Genomic DNA, 23,315 nt, shown 5'->3' with positions numbered 1-23,315 from the left:
CAGCCTCCCAAGTAGCTGGGATTACAGGCACCTGCTGCCACACCAGACTAATTTTGTATTTTTAGTAGAGACGGGGTTTCTCCATGTTGGTCAGGCTAGTCTTGAACTCCCGACCTCAGGTGATCTGCCCACCTCGGCCTCCCAAAGTGCTGGGATTACAGGTGTGAGCCACCATGCCAGGCCCAGGCAGTATCTATTAAATGCTACTCATTGTGCCCTCATTTTCTGTAACCTCGTTTACTTATTTGGGAAAAGATCCAGTACTGCTGCAAGGTAGTTTAAGAATAGCTGAAAAAGTGTGATATGAATAATCCAATAAGGGCATTAGAGGGTATAAAGATTACATGTAGCTTGTCAATTTCATTTTTTCAAATAGCAAATCCTGGCACCCAACATTACTGTTTTTATATCTGTAGAATGGGATTCTTTACAATCTAGCTAAAAAGCTGACACTAAGAACAAAACCTTCAGTACTGTGATCTTACCACCAAATGCCTGGAATGATGCCATAGTTAACAAGAAGAAGGTATTGTTCATAATATTTTTAAATAGAAAATAGAAAAGTTGGTGCCTTAAGTTCAGAAATATTTATTGAGCACATGTTATGTGCCTGGTCTTGTGCAGGACAACTGAGAAATGCAAGAAAGGTAATCATCAGCACATAATTGTATTCCTTTTTTCTTTTCTTCTTTTTGAGACAGAGTCTCACTCTGTCACCCAGGGCTGGAGTGCGGTGGCACAATCTCAGCTCACTGCGACCTCCGCTTCCCATATTCAAGTGATTCTACTGCCTCAGCCTCCTGAGTGGCTGGGATTACAGGTGCACACCACCATGCCCAGCTAACTTTTGTAATGTTAGTAGAGATGGGGTTTCACCATATTTGCTAGGTTAGTCTTGAACTCCTGACCTCAAGTAATCTGCCCGTCTCGGCCTCCCAAAGGCCTGGGATTACAGGCGTGAGCCACCATGCCCAGCCCTTTTTGTTCCTTTGTTTTTTGAGACCAGGTCTCATTCTGTTGCCCAGGCTGGAGTACAGTGGTGCAATCACAGCTCACTGCAGCTTCAACTTCCCAGGCTCAGGTGATACTCGCCTCAGCCTCCCAAGTAGCTGGGACCACAGGTGCATGCCACCACACCTGGCTAATTTTTTTTTTTTCTTTGAGACGGAGTCTCACTCTGTCACCCAGGTTGGAGTGCAGTGGCACGATCTCGGCTCACTGCAAGCTCCGCCTCCCGGGTTCACGCCATTCTCCTGCCTCAGCCTCCCCAGTAGCTGGGACTACAGGCGCCCACCACCACGCCCGGCTAATTTTTTGTATTTTTAGTAGAGACTGGGTTTCACCGTGTTAGCCAGGATGGTCTCGATCTCCTGACCTCGTGATCTGCCTGCCTCAGCCTCCCAAAGTACTGGGATTACAGGCATGAGCCACCGCGCCTGGCCACACCTGGCTAATTTTTTAAATTACTTGTAGAAATGGGGTTCTCCCGCCTGGCACGGTGGAGGCAACAGGCACTCCAGCCTGGGCAACAGAGTGAGACTCCCATCTCAAAGAAAAAAAAAAGACACCAAAAGGAAAGTAAAAAGATAAGCAGGATACGGGGAAAAATATTTTTCACCTGTATTAAATAAATGATTAACATCCAGCATGCAGAATGCACAAAGAACTCCTTCAAATCAATCAGAAAAAGTTGATCCTATGGGGAGAATGTGGACAAAAGCTGTGGACAGACATTGGTTAAAGAGGACAGACGTGGTTAGTGCCACATACAAAGAGCTGGACTTAACCTGGTGGAGAAATAGACTTAAGAACAAGCGAGATTGTTTCCCATCCTAAGACTGGCAGACGTTTTACAGTTGGTGATATCACGTGTTGGCAGGGGTAGCTAAAACATAAACATGGGATTTGAGCATCCAGTCCCCAAAATATACAAACTTGCCATGTTGCTCTTGCAAGCAAACACACTGACTGGGACAAAATTGTAAAGACTCCCTAAATGGTCCTGCCCTTGGTTAGTTGCAGAGAATGGAAGACAGAACAGGCCCTGCAGCTGTAGTTAGAAGTATAGACTCACATCTCAGACCAGCTCTGCTGCTCACTGGCTGAGAGACGTGGGCAAGTTACTCCCAAATGCCTCCGCTACTGTTCCCTCACGGTAAGATCGTAAGCAGGTCCATCAATTTCTTGGAAGCTCAGCATCCTCAGCTAAGTGGTGGTCACAGGGTTGTTGGGAGGATTAAGTGAGATGAGGCATTTTTGGCACCTGGTCCAAATCCTGGCACATAATAGGTGCTCAGTTAATAATGGATCATTGTATTTGATCCTCCAAAAATTTTTGACCTGTCAAAATAGACTCTGGTACAGACACAAAATAAATACTGGCTAATTCTAATGTTTGGTCTCAAATATTCAGAAAATATTCTAATTTCAGATAATGAAATCAAGATATAAATTAATAAAGCTGGTCTCCTCTCCTCACCGTCACATGCAGCCCTTCCAGAAATTTATGAATGAGATGATGCCCAGTAATACAATTCATGCTTAACATATAAAACAGATTTTACTGTATGCAAACAGATGGAAATGCACAGATTATACAATTGATCTTAAGTGTTAGGGCTTTTTTATTTTTTCTTCTTTTGCTAGAAATGAGAGGTCTCTCCTTGTTGCCCAGGCTGGTCTCAAACTCCTGGCCTCAAGCAGTCTTTCTGCATTTCCGCCTTGGCTTCTCAAAGTGTTGGGATTACAGGCATGAGCCACCACAGCTGGCCCAGAATTGCTACATGTGTCTATTTCTTCTTATCTTGCTTGATGACAATGCAACAAAGCAGTAAATATTTTTCCTTCTCCCTCCTCCCCAGCACACCTATTGACCAGCAATTCTGTTACTGGTGTCTCCAACTGAAATCTTTTCTCCCCCCTTGAGCTTTTAACTTTTTACTTTGAAATAATTTTAGATGTAGAAAAAAGTTGCAAAAATAGTACAGAGTTCCCAGAAAAACCTTTCACCCAGCTTCCCCAAGTGGCAACATCTTATATAATCACAGTACAGTGATCAAAATCAAGAAAGTAGCCTTGCTACAATGTGAAGCTACAGACCATATTCAAATTTTGCCAATTGTTCCACTAAGGTTCCTTTTCTAACTCAAGATCTAGTTCAGAATCTCGAACTCAAAGTCTTCCTTCATCTTTCATGACCTTGATACTTTTGAAGAGTACTGACCAGTTGTTCGAGAATATTCCGCAGTTTGGGATTCTCTGATGTTTTCCCACGATTAGATCACAATTATGCCTTTTTTTTGGAAATGGCACACTTGGCCTTTTTTTTGTTTTTGTTTTTGTTTTTTTTTGTTTTTTGTTTTGAGACAGAGTCTCGCTCTGTCACCCAGGCTGCGGTGCAGTGGCGCGATCTCGGCTCACTGCAAGCTCTGCCTCCTAGGTTCACGCCATTCTCCTGCCTCAGCCTCCCGAGTAGCTGGGACTACAGGCGCCCGCCACCACACCTGGCTAATTTTTTTTGTATTTTTAGTAGAGATGGGTTTCACCGTGTTAGCCAGGATGGTCTCGATCTCCTGACCTCGTGATCCGCCCACCTGGGCCTCCCAAAGAGCTGGGATTACAGGCATGAGCCACCGCGCCCAGCAACACTTGGCCTTTTTAGTGTATCATATCAGGAGTTACCTGAAGTCAGTGTGTTACATTATTACTGCTGATGTTACCTTGGTGAAGGTAGTGTCTGTAGGATTTCTCCAGTGTAAAGTGATAGTTCTTTTCCCCTTTGTCTTTGATAAGTATCTTGTGGGGAGATTCTTCGAGATGGCAAATGTCCCATTTGTCATCATTCTTTTCCCCAATACAAACCATCCTCCATGATTCTTGCCTGCAAGAGTTATTCCTCTGGTGTTTGCCAAATGGTGATTTTCAAATTCTATCATTCCTTTCACACTTATTAATTAGAATTCTTCTGTAGGGAAGTGCTGTTCTTTCTCCCCTATTTATTGATTTATTCAGTTATGGACTTAACTAGTTTATTATTCTCATTGCTTATTTGGTTGCTTAAATTGTTTTAGATTTGTTCTTTCAGAGGTCCTCCAAGTTGGCTCCTGGGTCCTTTCAACATGTCCCATCATTTTTTAAGCACATTCTTACTTCCTGGCATCACAAGATGTTCCAGGTTCATCTTGTATATTTCCTACCCCAGCCCTGGAGTCAGCCATTTCTCAAAGCCCCAGTTTCTTTAATTGGAGAATAGTATTTAGAAATCATGATGTGGGCACTAGGTGTACCCATTGGTACTGGGTGTCTCTAGACTATATCTTCTGAATCTCCCTCTCTCCATCCCCACCACTGCCCTCCTGGTACATGTAATTGTCATGTTTCACTGGAATAATTGCCTCTTTATTACCTCCCTACTTCAAATCTTACCTTCTTCCAATTTACCCTCCAAGTAGTCACAAAAAAAATTCTTAAAACATTATCTGGACCATATCATTCCTTCGCATGAAAACCTTCGTTGGGTGTCAGGGTTAGCCTGCCACATCCTCGCATGGAGTTGGCAAACCTTTTTATTATATTATTATATTTTAGAGATGGGGTCTTGCTATGTTGCCCAGGCTGGTCTTGAACTCCTGGGCTCAAGCAATCTTCCTGCCTTGGCCTCCCAAAGTGCTGGAATTACAGACATGAGCCACCATGCCCAGCCTGCAAAACTTTTTTGTAAAAAGTTTGGTATCTATTTTAGGCTCTGTGGGCCACTCTGCTGTTGTAGCAAAAAAGCAGCCATAGACAATATGCAAACAAATGGGTATGGTTGTGTGCCAATAAAACTTTATTCATAAAAACAAGCAGAGGGCCAGAATTCTCAAGCCATAGATTACCGTAATTTACCAACCCAGCCCTAGTGGGTAGTTTTCATAAGCTTGCCAGAAGCCCCTTCAAACCTTTAGGAAGCTCTCACTGAGCAGCAACCACAGTTAATCCTCATGACGTTCCCCAGGAAGTTGTCTGACACCCCTCGTTAGCCTGCAGCTGCCTCCAGCTAGCCTCTCTTCTGACTGCCAGGTTTCCCAGGCATACCTCCCCCAACAATCTCTAACCCAGAACTCAGGGAAGGAGAGCCTTATCATGCTGCCCTCTCCTCTCTTTGTTCACTGCACACTCGTCACTATCTTCTTCTCTCCCAGTTCTTCAACCTGCTCAAGACTTTTCTGCCTCAGGACCTTTGCACACACTGCTCCATTTGCTTGGAATCTTCTTTCCACGCTTGTTCCAAAACTAGCTCTTTGTCTTGTTTTTTCTTCTTCTTCTTTAATTTTTTATTTTTAAAATAGAGACAAGGTTTTGCCATGTTGCCCAGGCTAGCCTCAAGCTCCTGGGCTCAAGCAATCCACCCACCTCCACTTCCCAAAGTGCCGAGATTATAGGGATGAGCCACAGCCTTTTTCATCTCTTAGAGCCCAAATTAAACAATACTTTTATAGGGAGGCCTTCCCTGACTCCTTTATTTAAAATAGCCTGCCTCGGTGTGGTGGCTCACAGTTGTAATTCCAGCACTTTGCTGAGGTGGGAGGATCGCCTGAGCCTGGGAGGCAGAGGTTGCAGTGAGCTGAGATTGTGCCACTGCACTCCAGCCTGGCCAACAGAGCAAATCCCTGTCTTTAAAAAAAACAAAAACAAAACAAACAAACAAAAAAACGCAATAAAATAGGCTCCCCTTTTATTAGAATCTGTCTTTGCTTCAAAACCTTTTTGTTCCCCATCACATCTCCAGGATTTAGAAAAGTGCCTAGCACCCAGAGGTGCTCAAATATGTGTTAAATGAGTGTAACAGGCCAGGCGCAGTGGCTCACGCCTGTAATCCCAGAACTTTGGGAGTCCGAGGCAGGTGGATCACCTCAGGTCAGCAGTTTGAGACCAGCCTGGCCAACATGGTGAAACCCTGTCTCTACTAAAAATACAAAAATTAGCTGGGAGTGGTGGCAGGTGCCTGTAATTCCAGCTACCTGGGAGACTGCAGCATGACAGTCAGTTGAACCCAGGAGGCAGATGTTGCGTTGAGCCAAAATCGTGCCACTGCACTCCAGCCTGGGTAACAGAGCAAGACTCTGTCTCAAAACAAAAACAAAAACAAAAATCACGCTTTAAAAAAAGTTAAAAATTAAATAAATAAATAAATAAATAAATGAGTGTAACACTTAGCACAATTGGTTAGCAGTTCACTTGCCTATTTCCTGTACTATTGATAGGATAGGGGTCAGGACTCTTTCATTTACTGCCTATACCTAGCTCCTAAATCTGTCTGAAATGCAGGAGGTATCAGTAAATGTTTGTTGAATGTATAAGTGAATGAAACTCGCATATTTTTTAAAAACTCCATTATGGATAGTAGGTAGCAGATGGTTGTGGGAATGGGGTGAAATTACACAGCAAAATGTTCTTTTTATTAAGGGTCTAGATTTCTCCTGTTTCCAGGTGGCAACCCCTCTAAGGAGGGGGATCTGGATTTGGAAGTTCCCGTCTGAGTTTAGGGCCAGCGCTCCCTGTCAGTTCTTTGCCTCACCTTAAGATGTCACTAAATGACTTGGGCCATGGCTTCCACTGGCTGTCAGGGAAAAGCTGGGAGGTCAGGACAGGAAGGGAGGAAATGACCCGGTGTTATGAACAAATCTCCCACTTCCTCCAGCGCCTGGCAGACAAGGTGACAAGGCGCTGATGTCCCCCACCCAGCTTTACAAGCTGTTCATTAGCACACCTGATATTCCAGAGCCATGGAACTTTCTGTTTCCTTCTACAACCAGAACCTTGACAAATCAGACCAAGCTGGATAAATCATATCACATCATGATTGACTTCCTGTTGTGGGTCCAGCACTGTCTCTAGGGCTCTAGGATAGACTCAACAGAAACGTTCCGTAATATTTCTGCTCTCCAGAAGTAGTTGGGGGGCTAAGACATACAGGAAAGAAAAAATTTAAAATAGTACAAGATTCTACAGGCAACGTGGTATTCTGGATTGGGTCCCGGAGAAGAAAAATGGACATTCGTGAAAAAATTGGCAAAGTACAAATAAAACCTCTAGTTTAGTTGATAGTGTTGTATCAATGTTAATTTCTTAGTTTCGATGAATATATCATGGTTACCTAAGATGCTAACATCAGGAGAAGCTGGGTGAAGCATATGCAGGAACTCTCTGTACTATCTTTGCAATATTTCCATAAATTTAAAGTAATCCAAAATTGGCTAGGCACAGTGGCTCATGCCTGTAATCCCAGCACTTTGGGAGGCCGAGGCAGGAGGATCACTTGAAGTCAGGAGTTCGAAACCAGCCTGGCCAACATGGTGAAACCCCGTCTCTACTAAAAATACAAAAATTAGCCAGGCGTGATGGTGCACACCTGTATTCCCAGCTACTCGGGAGGCTGAATCACTTGAACACTGGAGGCAGAGGTTGCAGTGAGCCAAGATCGCGCCACCGCACTGCAGCCTGGGAGACAGAGGGAGACTCCGTCTCAAAATAATAAATAAATAAATAATAAATAAATGTCCAAAATTAAAAGCTTTAAAAGTATTCAAGACAGTGTTGGCTTGGATGGTCTGCATGTATATTGTAGTAGTCCAGAGATACTGGATGAATCCCTGGACTCAGACCTGAAACTGAGTCCCTCTCCCCGCCAGCTACCAGCTGTGTGACTTAGGGCAAGTGACTTAACCTTGCAGAACCTCAGTTTTCTTTTTCTTTATTTTCTGTCTTATTTTTAATTTTTAATTTTTTTCTTTTTTAGAGGCAGGATCTTGCTCTGCTGCATAGACTGGAGTGCAGTGATGCAATCACCACTCACTGCAACCTCACTCCTGGTCTCAAGCAATCCTCCTGCCTCAGCCTCCTGAGTAGCTAGGACTACAGGTGCATGTCACCACACCCAACTAAATTTTTATATTTTGTAGAGATGGGGTCTCACTATGTTGCCCAGGCTGGTCTCAAACTCCTGGCCTCAAGTGATTCTCCTACCTCGCCCTCCCAGAGTGTTACAGGCATCAGTCACTGTGCCCAGCCCCTCAGTTTTCTTAGTTTTAAAAAACACCAAGCTCATGAAGTTACTGTGAAGTCTCCAGGAGATAATATATAAATGCTCCTGGTCCAGTGCCTGCACAGGGTAAATTCTCAATACCTGCTGGTTTTTTCCTTCTCTGTCATTTCAGGAAAAGTAGCAATCAGTTGGGCTTCAGGATTCAGAAAAGAAATAACAAGATGAGATTTGTAGTCAGTCATTGGAGTTGGCTAAGGTTGAAGTTAGAGAAGTGGAAGCTGGACAAGAATCCCGCACAAAGGTGACCCAAGAGGATCACTCTGTCAGTTTCAATTTTAGGAAACATACTTCTTAAGCTATTGGAAGGAGGCATTTTTATATTATAACTAGTCTTGAAAAATTGTGGATTTTTTTCTAAGATAATCTCAGAGATGAGCAAAATAATATTTGTGAAGGTTATTCATGATAGCACTGATTGTAAAGGCAAAAGATTGAAAACCACTTAAATGTTTCTAAATAGGGAGGAGCCTGGCTAAATTCACTCCATGGAATTCATTGAAAACATTAAAAGCTGTATATTAAAAAATATAAAGCAGCTGGGTGTGGTTGCTCATGCCTGTAATCCCAGCATTTTGGGAGGGTGAGGTTGGAAGATCGCTAGAGCTCAGGAGTTTGAGACCAGCCTGGACAACATAGCAAGACCTTGTCATTACAAAAAATTTAAAAACTAGCTGGGCATGATGATGCATATCTATAGTCCTGGCTACTTGGGAGGCCAAGATGAGAATATTGCTTGAGCCCAGAAGATTGAGGCCACAGTGAGCCATGATTGTGCCACTGCACTCCAGCCTGGATGACAGAGAAAGACCCTGGCTCTAAAAAAAAAAATACACACACACACACACTTATATATATAAACAAGTCTATGTATATATACACACACACATAAACACAGACTTGCTTTATAGATATATGACATGGCCATAGCTAAAGCTATATAGACAGAAAAAAAATGCAGAATGGAACACACAGTATGTTACCATTTGCAGATCAAAAAAGTATGAATGAGTGTTTATTCATATGTTCATCAATATCTCTGGAAAGATACACAAGAACCTGATGACAGTATTTCCTACTTGGTTGACACCAAAACCAGAGACCATTCAAGTCACATCCATCTTGTTAAACATCTTGTTAAAATGTTATTGCCGGTAAAATGTTACATTTCTTTTGTTTAGAAATTGTTAACCAGAATTTGTGACATACTTATTTTTTAAACATGTGTTTAAACTTTTTATTATGGGAAATGTCAAACATAAACAATGGAGTGAGAACCATAATGATCCTCCCTGCCCCAGGAACCAGCTTCAGTTATCAACGTTCCATCATTCAGATTGTGTGGGACATTCACATTGTTTTCATTAATTACATAAAAATAATAATTGTAAGAGTAGTTTAATTCTGATCAAATGAAGTTAAATTTTTTAAATTTCTCTATAAATTGTCTTGCTGAGAGCCAGGCGTGGTGGCTCACGTGTGTAATCCCAGCACTTTGGGAGGCAGAGGCAGGTTGCTCATGAGGTCAGGAGTTCGAGACCAGCCTGGCCAGCATGGTGAAACCCTGTCTCTACTAAAAACACACACATAAAAAATTAGCCAGGCATGGTGGCACGTGCTTGTATTCCCAGCTACTCAGGAGGCTGAGGCAGGAGAATCGCTTGAGCCCAGGAGGCGGAGGTTGCAGTGAGCTGAGATCGTGCCACTGCATTCCAGCCTGGGCAACAGAGCGAGACTCTGTCTCAAAAAATAAATAAATAAATAAATTGTCTTGCTGAGAAGTCCGATAGAATGATCAATTAACAATTTCAAAGACCCCCAAATTATTATGTTCACATAAAATCCCACAGGGGAAGTGGAGTTGAAGTACAAGATGAAGGGGAAAAAAATGATGTAAAACTTCAACTGTTAGAAAAACAGCTTGTTCATGCGTAGTTTAAATGGATGACGATGAATACAAATTTAAGAATTATTTACAAATATTTATAATACCCCAGAATCCTCTAAAGATATCTAAAGATATGAAAACATTATAGATATCAAGTTTAGAACATGGAAGGAATTATATATCTTTTTAAAAATTATTGGCAGGGCGCAATGGCTCACGCCTGTAATCCCAGCACTTTGGGATGCTGAGGCAGGAGGATCACAAGGTCAGGAGTTTGAGACCAGCCTGGCCAATATGGTGAAAATCCCATCTCTACTAAAAATACAAAAATTAGCCAGGCGTGGTGGCATGCACTTGTAGTCCTGGCTACTCGGGAGGCTGAGGCAGAAGAATTGCTTGAACCTGGGAGGTGGAAGTTGCGGTGAGCCGAGATTGTGCCACTGCATTCCAGCCTGGGCAACAGAGCAAGACTCCACCTCAAAAAAAAAAAAAAAATTTAAGCCAGGCATGGTGGTGTGTGCCTGTAGTCCCAGCCATTTGGGAGGCTGAGGCAGGAAGGATCCTTTGAGCCCAGGAGTTTGAAGCTGCAGTGCACTGTGATGGTGTCTCTGAATAGCCACTGCACTCCTGCCTGGGCAGCATAGTGAGATCCAATCTCAAAAAAAAAATTTATTTTAGAGGGTATATATGAGGAAGATAGTTTGAAGATCACTGCTTTAGAAGACCCCATGTTTATGTCCAAGTCCTAGGAAGCTACTGTGTTGTTTAGACAGAAGGTCACGTCAGCCTAGAGCTCAGGAAAGACAAACTGCCTTGAGCCTGAGACTGAGTTCTGATCAATGTATCTCTTCTCCACTAACCATCATGAGCAAGTTGGATTATTCCTGGAATGCAAGGTTGGTTTAATCCTGGAAAACCAACCAATTTAATTCATCCATCCAGACCCAAAGTCACAGATATTTGAGTGCCTTTGACCATTATATACATACAGGAAAAATAAACACCTCCAGCCACCATCCCTTCCTTTACTCCCTTAGCAACCTGTTGAAAGCTACCCATTTTCTTTTGTAGACTTTGTATTTTTTTGTACATGGGTAGTGGGGGTGAGACACATGGACACCCAGTTAGAATTCCTGTAGATTCCTGGGCCTCAGCCCAGAACTACTGAGTCATACTTTCTGGGAATCTTCATTTTAAATATCTACCTCTCCCCTCTCCAAGGTGACTCATAGATGTCCTGAAGCTTATAAAATGCCATTCTAACTCACTTGCACTCTCAGCACTGTTCTGAAAATAAGGCCTCTACTTTTTATTTTCAAACAGAACCTTCCCTTATCCCTCCCTTGGCTTTTCTCCTTCCTTACTCTTCTTTCTCTGACCCCCTTTGAAGGTTCCACTTCCTTCTCCTCCCCCAAATACATATGCCTCTAAATGTATAGGCTCTGCTAGGTGCTCTCTTCAGATATCAACTGTGTACCTCACTGCAGATGTCTCATCTAGCCCACAGTCTGCCTTTAGGCTTGGGCAAGAGGGGCCCCTGCCCTGGACTTCTCATTTTAGTGGCTTTGAATATAAACTACACAAATTCTCATTGCTAATTCCAATCACTCTCCAGTGAAGAATAGGCAGCATTTATTGAGTACTTACTGAGGAATGGGTACTAGACTTTGACTTTGATTCACTCATTTACTGCCCGCAGCAGCCCTTTGAGGTAGGTAATCATCACCACCTTATATAAATGATGAAGCAGGAAGGAGCTCAGAGGGAAAAGCAACTTTTTCCAGCTGGTGAGTACAAAAACTGGGTTGTTTTTGTTTTGTTTTAGACAGAGTCTCACTTTGTAGCCCAGACTGGAGTGCAATGGCATGATCTCGGCTCACTGCCACCTCCGCCTCCTGGGTTCAAGCAATTCTTGTGCTTCAGCCTCCCAAGAAGCTGGGATTACAGGTGCGCACCACCCCACCCAGGTAATTTTTGTATTTTTAGTAGAGATGGGGTTTCACCATGTTGGCCAGACTAGTCTCGAACTCCTGACCTCAAGTGATCCACCCACCTTGGCCTCCCAAAGTGCTGGGATCATAGGTGTGAGCCACCATGCCCAGGCAAAAACTGGGTTTTGAACTTGGGAAAGTCTGACCTCTTAACCACTACACCAGACATCTCACTTGTGCTCCAAAATGCTGGAAACATAACTTGCTGCCTTCCTCTCTTCTGGTGCCTTCGCTACTCCCATACCAGATATCTTCTGTTGTCCCTTCCAGAACTGCAGGATAAACCATGTCCTGAGGCTTCACATCTTCTAGAAACACTCTCCTTGGATCTCTAACTTTGTTCTTCTATTAGAGACTGGGAAAATCTCACTAGAAAATTTTCTCTACTCTGCTCTTACTGAAAATAAGGTGCAGTAGAATGAAGATCTCTGAAAAATTATCCTAACTTAGTTGCAGAGCCCATAACAGACTGACATTTTCAGGTATGGAAACTTCTCTGCCTTTTTTTTTTTTTTTTAAATGGGGGTCTCACTCTGTCACCCAGGTTGGAGTGCAATGGTGCAGTCACAGCTCACTGCAGCCTCAACCTCTTGGGCTCAGGTGATCCTCCTATGTCAGCCTCCCAAGTAGCTGGGAATATAGGTGTGCACCACCCATGCCCGGCTATTTTTTTTTTTTTTTTTGGTATGTTTTTGTAGAGAAGAGGTCTTACCATGTTGGCCAGGCTGGTCTCGAACTCCTGAGCCCAAGTGATTAGCCCACCTCAGCCTCCCAAAGTGCTGGGATTACAGGTGTGAGCCACCGTGCCCAACCATTTCTTTACATATAAACAGGAGATTGCTTGGTCCATGTTTTGCTAAGTCAAAGTGGCAGCACACATATAACCCTTGTGTACACATTGCTATACACTTAACTTTCACTTTCTTTTCTAAAATGAGGAATTTGGCCGGGCACAGTGGCTCACGCCTGTAATCCCACCACTTTTGGAGGCCAAGGTGAGCAGATCACTTGAGGTCAGGAGTTCGAGACCAGCCTGGCCAACATGGCAAAACCTCATCTCTACTAGAAATACAAAAATATTACCCAGGCATGGTGGTGAGCACCTGTAATCCCAGCATCTTGGGAGGCTGAGGCAGGGGAATCACTTGAACTCAGGAGGCAGAGGTTGCACTGAGCCAAGATCATGCCACTGCACTCCAGCCTGGTTAACATAGCATGGCTCCATCTCAAAAAAAAATAAGGAATTATTGACCATAAACACTTCAAAAGTATGCACAAATATAGCATAATGCAGTAGACCAGAGGGCTGATCATGGTGGCTTTGGGAACAAATCCAGCCCAGAGATGTGATCCCCACCCAAATGTGCTTTTCAGTTTTTTAAATTTTAATTATTCATCAATATTCACTTTTCACATGAAAATTTAAACTGTGGCATTCTCTTGAGAAATCAAACATTTCAACAAGGCCTGGTCCACTTTCCTACCAGTCAGTCACTGGTAAGGGCAGAATGTTGACAGTGCTCTATAGACGAGCACAGGCTCCCCAGGTCACCACAGCCTCTGCCACATCCGTCACCTCTGTGGTCCTGCCTGCTGTGTCAGCACTGCCTTCATCTCCCACTTGAGCTGTGTGTTTATGTCATCCAACCTGCAGTCTACCTTTAGACTTGGGCAAAAGGAGCCCCTGCCCTGTTTTACCGGCTCTCGATATAAAATACACACACAAAATATTCATTAAAAATCATGGGTAAGCCAGGCATGGTGGCTCACGCCTGTGATCTCAGAACTGTGGGAGGCCAAGGCAGAAGGATCACTCAAGCCCAGATGTTCAAGACCAGCCTGGGCAACATGGGGAAACCCTGTCTCCACTAAAAATACAAACATTAGCCGGGCATGGTGGTACATGCCTGTAGTCCCGGCTACTTGGGAGGCTGAGATGGGAGGATCACCTAAGCTCAGGGAAGTCAAGGCTGCAGTGAGCTGAGATTGCGCCACTGCACTCCAGCCTGGATGATAGAGTGAGACCCTGTCTCAAACAAACCCCCCCAAAAAAACAAAACACGGGTAAATCAGCCCCTCAGTGTCTGCTACTTAGCACTGGCATTGTGCCATCCATAGCACTAAACACCCACCATTGACACTAACACTGCTCAGGCCCCAGGGAAGCCGTTCTCTGCATCTTTTGTCCTATATCTGTAAATTGAAAGGCACTGTTCCACAGTGCAGGGAGGATTTGATCAGGGAAAACACCGTGGAAAGAGAAAAGACAACTGAGTTAACCCTCCCATCTTTCTCTCCCGTAGCTGGATACTTGCAGAGCCAAGTGTCCCCAGCAACACCTGAGCATCCTCGTTCTTGCTTCTCAGTGTCCCGTCATTATTCCAAAGGTGCTTACAAAAAGCACAGTATTTGTACTAGTTGCAAACGGCAGCTGAAGAACATTTTGCAGAATAAATAATTCAGATTGCCCTTTTTTTAAATTTTTTTAATTTTTTTTGAGATGGAGTCTCATTCTGTCGCCCACCCTGGAGTGCACTGGCACAATCTCGGCTCACTGCAACCTCCACCCGCTGGTTTCAAACGATTCTCCTGCCTCAGCCTCCTGAGGTACCTGGGATTACAGGCGCGCACCGCCATGCCCAGCTAATTTTATATTTTTAGCAGAGACGGCGTCTGGCCATGTTGGTCCAGGCTGGTCTTGAATGCCTGACCTCAAGTGATCCACCCGCCTCGGCCTCCCAAAGTGCTGGGATTACAGATGTGAGCCACTGCACCCAACCCCAGATTATTCTTGAATCTGCTTATACATTGGCCTTGATGTAACTAACATGCCTACAGATTCTTCACATTGGCAACTATAGATGGACACTGAATTCCGGAATTGAAGCTAGTTTTATTTTTATAAGAAATATTTAGTGGGATTTAGCCAAAACTTTAAAAAATATATTTACATTTTCTTTAATTTTGATATGAAGGCTTAATATCAATTATCGTGTATTTTACTTTCCCATCTTAAATATTTTGAATATTTTAGAAGAAAAATATTTGTAAACATTTATGAGTTTTTTGGTTTACTTTTTAAAATTTTTTATACTTTATAATTGCATTTCAGGCCGGGCGCGGTGGCTCACGCCTGTAATCCCAGACTTTGGGAGGCCGAGGCGGGCGGATCATGAGGTCAGGAGATCGAGACCATCCTGGCTAACACGGTGAAACCCCATCTCTACTAAAAACACAAAACATTAGCCGGGCATGGTGGCAGGCGCCTGTAGTCCCAGTTACTCGGGAGGCTGAGGCAGGAGAATGGCGTGAACCTGGAAGGTGGAGCTTGCAGTGAACCGAGATCGCGCCACTGCACTCCAGCCTGGGCGACAGAGCGAGACATCGTCTCAAAAAGTAAATAAATATAATTGCATTTCATTTTTTTCACCTTTTAGATGATTATTGTCAATAGCAAAGGCCAGCAAATGACAGCCTAAGGGCTGAATTTAACCCATGAACTAAGAATGGTATATATACAGTATACAAATATATATTTATTAGGTATTTTTGTATATTCATATATTTATATATGTAATATTTTAAAATTTCTTTAAAATATTTATATATTACATATACAAATTGCACATATTTATATATGTAACATATAAATATTTTAAATAATTTTTTATAAATATATAAATATAAAGTATTTTATAAATATTAAATATACAATATTTTACAAGTATTTTAATAAATATTTTATAAATTTTTTTTGAGACAGGGTGTTGCTATGTTGCCTAGATGGAATGCAGTGGCATGATCACAGCTCACTGCAGCCTCGACCTCCTGGACTCAAGCAATCCTCCTCCTCCTGCCCCAGCCTCCCAAATAGCTGGGACCACAGGCATGTGCCACCACGCCCAGCTAATTTTTTTATTTTTTATAGAAACGAGGTCTTGCTCTGTTGCCCAGGCTGGTCTCAAACTCGTGGGCTCAAGTGATTCTCCTGCCTTAGCCTTCTGAAATGCTATGATTACAGGCACGAGCCACCGTGCCTGGCCTATTTTTTTAATATTTTTAAAGATTTGTAAAACAAAGAAGCATGTATGGACCACAAAGCCTAGTACTACCTGGCTCTTTACCAAAAAAAAAAAAAAAAAAATTGCCACATCCAGGTCAGTAGAACATAAATTATGTAAAAACTTGATCACTACACATTTAGTGATTTTGCTGAAATCAACACAAAAAAAAGAAATGTTATGGAATAAATATATAATAATTTATTAATTATGTTTGTTACTCATACTAATAATATCAGAGGCCCAGCAATACAACACCCAGACATATGCAATAATAATTAAATTCCCTCATCTTTGATAGTTTTCTGACTTTTAATCATATGTAAACCATAGCTTGACAGATATGTTTTGCTTCTGTCATTATGAATGTATACTTGTCAAAGTAGGAGGATAAAATGTTTTATTTAAGATTGATTTTTTTATTTTTACACATTCCAGCATATGATATGTGGGCTATGGCCCACAAACATGGTTGAAAAATCTGCCCGTCTGTCTTGCTCTGCCTCTTAAGCGAGTTTCAGTCCTTGTCTCACCCCAGAAACTTTGAGAAGTAAATGTCAGATCCCAGTATCTATCGCCCTGTGTTGGCAATGGGCTGAATTATCACTCTTTTGCTTCTTTTTTTGGGGGCGGTGGGGGACAGAGTTTTGTTCTTGTTGCCCATGCTGGAGTGCAATGGCGCGATCTTGGCTCACCGCAACCTCTACCTCCTGGGTTCAAGCGATTCTCCTGCCTCAGCCTCCCGAGTAGCTGGGATTACAGGCATGCGCCACCACGCCCGGCTATTTTTGTATTTTTTTAGTAGAGACGAGGTTTCACCATGTTGGTCAGGCAGGTCTGGAACTCCCGACCTCAGGTGATCCGCCCACCTCAGCCTCCCAAAGTTCTGGGATTACAGGCTTGAGCCACCGCGCCCGGCCACACTTTTGCTTCCGTGTGGACTTTTTGTTCAAATCAGTTCTGAATTGAACATTCATAACCAGAGGAGCCTCTGTACTTTATGTTAATACTCTAGACACATAATAACTCATAAATACATACATCAGCTAAGGTGCTTTATTAGGCAAAGTTTTTAGCCCAGAAAACAAAGTCATTCTGGTCAAATCCCATTTTTCTTTTTGGTAATCACCATCACCTGTGGCAAATGCTTCAGGCCAATGTTTCCATTCAGTCTCAGACCTCCATCTTTTTTATTGATAATATTTCCACCCAGGAAAGAAGCACATCTTCCAATTACTTGCACAAAGGCAAAGAGTGAAAAGCCATGGATATTCCTAAAGAAGAAAGTCTCAATCTCCTTACAAATAGAGGCAAAGTAAAAAAGGAAGAAGAGGAGAAAGAGGAGGAGGAAGGAGGAGGAAGGGGAGAAGCAGAAGGAGAAGAGGAAGAAGGGAAAAAAGTATAAGGAGGAAGAGAAGGAAAAGAAGATAAAGGAGAAGGAAGATAAGAAGAAGAATTGGAGGAGGAAGATTTATTTATTTTTGAGACGGAGTCTCACACTGTCGTCCAGGCTGGAGTGCAGTGGCATGATCTCCACTCACTGCAACCTCTGCCTCCTGGGTTCAAGCGATTCTCCTGCCTCAGCTTCCCAGGTAGCTGGGATTAGAGGCATGCGCCACCATGCCCAGCTAATTTTTTGTATTTTTCCTAGAGACGGGGTTTCACCATGTTGGCCAGGCTGGTCTCGAACTCCTGACCTCGTGATCCGCCTGCCTCAGCCTCCCAAAGTGCTGGGATTATAGGCGTGAGCCACCATGCCCAGCCAGGAGGAGGAAGATTAAAAGAGGAGGCCGGGCATGGTGGCTCACGCCTGTAATCCCAGTACTATGGGAGGCTGAGGTGGGTGGATCACTTGAGGTCAGGAGTTCGAGACTGGCCTGGCCAACATGGTGAAACCCTGTCTCTACTAAAAATACAAAAATTACCCCAGCATGGTGGCACTCGCCTGTAATCCCAGCTACTTGGGAGGCTGAGTCAGGAGAATCGCTTGAACCCGGGAGGCTGAGGTTGGAAGGAGCCAAGATCACACCACTGCACTCCAGCCTGGGCAAGAGAATAAGACTTCGTCTCAAAAAAAAGAAAAAAAAAAAAAGAGGGAAGAGGAATTAGAAGAAGAAGAAAAGGAGGGAAAAGGAGGAGGGGAAGAGGGGAGAAGAAAAAGGAGTGGTAGTGGGAGGAGCTGAGAAAGGAGCAGAGGAGGGTGGGTGAAGGAGTAGGAGAAGGGCTCTGACCCCTACTGAGTTCTTATCAGTCTCCTCGACCTTAATTGCCTCCCTCCCTTTTGGCTTTTACCAGTTACACCAGTTACTGCGCTTTCTTTCATGGTGAAAAGAAGGACCAGAGTTGCTGTCACCACCTCCTTTTCAGAGTGAGCCTTCTAAGAGCTGAGGCCGAGTGAGCCTTCTAAGAGCTGAGGCCTTTGGCTCTCTCTCCTGTAGCACACTGGCCAGGCCCTGGAGCTCAGGCTGTCGCTGATCACACCCAGCTCTTGAGAGCAAACTGACCACCCTCTCCAAGGGACCCACCTGGAAACTTCTGCGATCCATTCTATTCGTTCAGACTGTAGGCTGAGAGTCCCTTTAAACTGCACTGGGCTGCTATCTCTTAGCATGTATGATTTGAGTGTTCCTTTAAGTGCTCTACAAAAGCCAGAAAGCAGGCAGGGGAAATCCTAGGTCTAAGAAATTAGGAAAGCTTTCTATTTTTGTTGGGTAAGTTTGATTCTGCAAATCATTTTATAAAAATACACTGAGAAAGTAGTCTAGCACACTTGCTACATTTTTAACATTCCTAAAGTTGCCCACAGTACTTAAAAAAAAAAAAAACGGTTTGTGTCACTTTCAATTGGGGCTAAAAGATCTTTTTGTTTGTTTTCTTGTCTTTAAAAATACTGATACCTGCATCTAATTTCTTGCCAAAAAATACGAATAAAAATACTGATTCAATAAGGAGGGCTGGGGTCTTTTTTCCAGATTAGATTTTAATTTTAAACTCAGGTCCACTATTCTGACGCGCCAGGACAAATAACTGTATGTGAGCCTATAAATTAACTTCCCTTAATTCCATCACTGATGAATTTTCATGTCGATAAGCCCCCCAAAAAGGAGGGAGGAGGGTCCCCTGTAACCAAACATAAGTCAGTTTACAAAGGAGTTCGGGGGACTTGGGGACACTGACTCCTCTTCAGAATTGCCTAAAGAGACTGGCCATTGACAATTTAAATCTTCAGTGCTTTATCTCTTTGTTTGAGTCTTGGAATGCCATTGATACCTTCTTTGTATTTATAATTGTTTTAATTAGCTACCCAGCGGGGGCCTCTCTCCCAGCTTGGATTATGGGCTGCACAGCGGGACAGGACAACCCAGTTAAAATAAAGCACAGACATTATGGCTCGCTTAATTTCTTTTATCTGTGTCCATTTTTTTTTCTCTTATTCCCCCTCATTTTCATCCTCTTTTTTCTTTTTTTCTTTTTTCTCCCCCTTGTTGTCTGTGGAAGGCAGGGGCAAAAAGCCTTGACACCTTGAATGGCTTAGCTTTTGAAGAATCAAAGTATGGAAAAAACTCAACCATGGATATTTATCAGCAGTTCACATCTCAGCGGAAAAAAGAAATATCGCCGATGTGCTTGTCCACTGCGTTTGATAACATTTCATAAGCCTCAAACGCGATCATATCTTGAGCGATTATGCTGACATGTACGTCGGTTGCCTGACTTTTGTGGGTGGAGTGAGGGGAAAGTTTGCAAAAAAGCTTCTCTCCGCGGCCCCTGTGTTATTTGTTCTTACTGACCACATCCTTCTTTTGTGGGTGGAAATCTGGAGGATCAATTATGATGCAGATCTGATACTATTTCCATTTGTGGGAGCGGTGTGGCCCGGGCGTTTGGACTTTGGGAAATTCTTGCATTGTTAAAATGGGTTTTCCCCCCACTTTGAACTCAGTGATGCTACTGGTGTGATCACACACACAAAAAAACTGCCTGGCCAGAGCTTTTTCTAAGAACATACAGAAATGCAGGGCTTGTTTGTAGCTTCAAAGAATAGCCAGGATTTCTCTTTTTTTGTGAATCTCTAACTACCTGTCTGGAAGCTAAAGCAGGGCGGGGGTTTGGGTGAAAACAGTCATTATTTTAAAAAGTAATCCTCCTACACTATGATGCAAATAATGGAGTTTTAATTTTTTTCTAATAATACCCCCAAAGAACTTATTTGCATTTGAAAAGAAATGATAGTTCAAATTATCAGTATAGGAAAAGCTTTGAACTGTCTTCTATAATTCAGTGCACTTATAAGTATTAAATGTTATAGAGCCCAAATTTATTCTGGAAATTTTCAACAGTAAGCATTGAATCTATCCCCCATCAAACAACCTGACAAAGGGCAGAGGAGATTATTTTGAGTTTGTATGTAAATATTCAGGGCGAGGTGGCTCATTCCTGTAAACCCAGCACTTTGGGAGGTTGAGGCGGGCGCATCACTTGAGGTCAGGAATTCAAGACCAGCCTGGGCAACATGGCAAAACCTCGTCTCCACCAAAAATTAGCTGGGCATGGTGGCGTGCACCTGGAATCCCAGCTATTGGGAGGCTGAGGTGGGAGGATCACTTGAGCCTGAGAGGTCGACGCTGCAGTGAGCCATGATTGCACCACTGCATTCTAGCCTGGGCGACAAAGTGAAACCCTGTCTCAAATAAATAAGCAAACAAACAGAATCTGGGGGCCTTTAAAACCAAGTATGGTTATAATTAAAATTTTCTCATTATCTGGATTATTTTTGGCTTTGTAACCAATCAGAGACCCAGACATTTACTTGCTGTATAAACCAGCCACATATCAAAGAGACTGTGAATTAAGACCCATAGCAATTTGTTTAGTGTGTTATAAAGCTTTGAAATTCAACGACAAGATGTAGAAGAGGCAGGAAACCCAGTATGAGCCAGAGGCCTAGGGTTGGGAAAATCTTCAGGAGCCAAGTGTCCTTGAGGGACACTAAATGACTATACGATAAAATAGCAAAGCCCATCGTGCCCAGAGCCCTGTGCAATGTACATGTTTGTGAAGATAATCCAGCTTGGGGGCTGTGCAACATCATGAATGACTAAGTGTCTCTTAATTGTATACTTTAAGATGGTTGATTTTGTTAAGTGAATTTGACCTCAATACAAAAAATAAAATGAGACAATCTTTTAAAAAATGTACATATATAATTAAGATTTGGAAATTACTTTAAAGATGTTTGCGATTTTTTTAAATTTTTTTTTTCCATTTTCACATGCATTTTCTTACTTATTCGTCAAAGGATAGGAACTCTTTGGGATCAATATTTTGAATACTCATCTCATTTTCTAGCCTAGTCACCCTCCAGTGAGGAGTAAAGCCATGTGGAGGCTTCGTGCTTTTCTCTAGGAGTACTTGCTACATCAAATATAGCAACTAACAAAGGGCAGTCCAGTTTTCTTTTTTTTTTTTTTTTTGTTCTTTGTTTTTTGTTTTTTTGAGATGGAGCCTTGCTTTGTGGCCCAGGCTGAGCGCAGTGGCATGATCGCAGCCTACTGCCACCTCTGCCTCCCACATTCAAGTGATTCTCCTACCTCAGCCTCTCGAGTAGCTGGGGTTAAAGGCATGCACCACCACGCCCAGCTAATTTTTGTATTTTTTTAGGAGAGACAGGGTTTCACCATGTTGGCCAGGCTTGAACTCCCAACCTCAGGTGATCTGCCCACCTCGGCCTCCCAAAGTGCTGGAATTACAGGCTTGAGCCAATATGGCAGGCTCTTCTTAGCACATTTTTAAGTGTACAATACAGTATTGTTGACTCTGGGTACAATGTACAACAGATCTCTAGAAATTATTCATCTTGCTCAATTGGAAACTTTATACCCATTGATTAATAACTCACGATTTCCCCCTCTCTCAGCCCCCGGCAACCACTATTCCACACTTTGATTCTACAAATTTGACTATTTTGGATATCTCATATAAGTAGAATCATGCAGTATTTGTCTTTCTGTGATTAGCTTATTTCACTTAACATAACGTCCTCAAGTTTCATCTCTGGCCGGGTGTGGTGGCTCACACCTGTAATCCTAGCACTTTGGGAGGCCGAGGTGGGAGGATTGCTTGAGTCCGGGAGTTTGAGACCAGCCTGGGCAATATGGTGAGACCCTGTCTCTACTAAAAATACAAAAAATTAGCTGGGCATGGTGACACGTGCCTGTAAGTCTCAGCTACTCAGGAGGCTGAGGTGGGAGGATTGCTCAAGCCTGGGAGGTAGAGGTTGCAGTGAGCCAAGATTGCACCACTGTACTCCAGCCTGGGTGACAGAGCAAGACACTGTCTCAAACAAATAAATAAATTAAAATAAAAACTTTTCAGCTCTGCCGCTGCAGATTGCAGTATTTCCTTCTTTTTTATGGCTGAATAATATTATATGTATATATCACATTTTAAAATCCATTCATCTGTCATCTGATAAAGGCAGAAAATTCTTTTAAATATAGCAGATGGGGCTGGGCATAGTGGTTCATGCCTATAATCCCAGCACTTTGGGAGGCCGAGGTGGGCAGATCACTTGAGGTCAGGAGTTCAAGACCAGCCTGGCCAACATGGCAAAATCCCATCTCTTCTAAAAATACAAAAATTAGCCAGACGTGTTGGCATGTGACTGTAATCCCAGATACTCGGGAGGCTGAGGCAGAAGAATTGCTTGAACCCAGGAGGTGGAGGTTGCAGTGAGCCGAGGTTGCGCCACTGCACTCCAGGCTGGGCGACAGAGCAAGACTCCGTCTAAAAAAAACAAACAAAAAATAGCAGATGGTTTAAAGTTTCAGCATTTTTTTTGGATGAAGTTTTGCTCTTGTTGCCCAGGCTGGAGTGCAATGGCGCGATCTTGGCTCACTGCAACCTCCGCCTCCCGGGTTTAAGCGATTCTCCTGCCTCAGCCTCCCGAGTAGCTGGGATTACAGGCACCCACCACCATGGCCGGCTAATTTTTTGTATTTTTAGCAGAGATGGGGGTTTCACCATGTTGGTGCAGGCTGGTCTTGAACTCCTGACCTTGGGTGATCTGCCCACCTCTGCCTCCCAAAGTGCTGGGATTACAGGCATGAGCCACCATGCCCAGCTAAAGTTTCAGCAATTTTAAGGATAACTCTGTGTAAAGATTAAAAGCAAACAAGAATATTTTATGTCACTTATTTGGGAAATCCTCATTCCCCTCACAGGTGTTCTTGGGAGTCTCTGTGTATCTGTTTAGGTATATGCATATATACACTGAGAATCCCCACATGTTT

At 43.2% G+C, this 23,315-nt stretch overlaps 4 annotated features.

The window, feature by feature from the left end:
* Positions 17,930 to 18,447: an enhancer, noted in NCBI's record as "OCT4-NANOG-H3K27ac hESC enhancer chr20:50665950-50666467 (GRCh37/hg19 assembly coordinates)". NCBI's record gives its function as "activates a minimal SCP1, AML or CMV promoter by ChIP-STARR-seq in naive and primed H9 embryonic stem cells {active_cell/tissue: H9 hESC(naive and primed)}" and the evidence as "EXISTENCE:reporter gene assay evidence [ECO:0000049][PMID:30033119]".
* Positions 18,448 to 18,966: an enhancer, noted in NCBI's record as "OCT4-NANOG-H3K27ac hESC enhancer chr20:50665431-50665949 (GRCh37/hg19 assembly coordinates)". NCBI's record gives its function as "activates a minimal SCP1, AML or CMV promoter by ChIP-STARR-seq in primed H9 embryonic stem cells {active_cell/tissue: H9 hESC(primed)}" and the evidence as "EXISTENCE:reporter gene assay evidence [ECO:0000049][PMID:30033119]".
* Positions 18,967 to 19,484: an enhancer, noted in NCBI's record as "OCT4-NANOG-H3K27ac hESC enhancer chr20:50664913-50665430 (GRCh37/hg19 assembly coordinates)". NCBI's record gives its function as "activates a minimal SCP1, AML or CMV promoter by ChIP-STARR-seq in naive and primed H9 embryonic stem cells {active_cell/tissue: H9 hESC(naive and primed)}" and the evidence as "EXISTENCE:reporter gene assay evidence [ECO:0000049][PMID:30033119]".
* Positions 19,485 to 20,004: an enhancer, noted in NCBI's record as "OCT4-NANOG-H3K27ac hESC enhancer chr20:50664393-50664912 (GRCh37/hg19 assembly coordinates)". NCBI's record gives its function as "activates a minimal SCP1, AML or CMV promoter by ChIP-STARR-seq in naive H9 embryonic stem cells {active_cell/tissue: H9 hESC(naive)}" and the evidence as "EXISTENCE:reporter gene assay evidence [ECO:0000049][PMID:30033119]".

Source organism: Homo sapiens, chromosome 20 (genome assembly GCF_000001405.40).
Source record: "Homo sapiens chromosome 20, GRCh38.p14 Primary Assembly".
NCBI lineage: Eukaryota > Metazoa > Chordata > Mammalia > Primates > Hominidae > Homo > Homo sapiens.
Note: the sequence above shows the minus strand (reverse complement) of the source record. Positions and strands in the feature narration are given on the sequence as shown.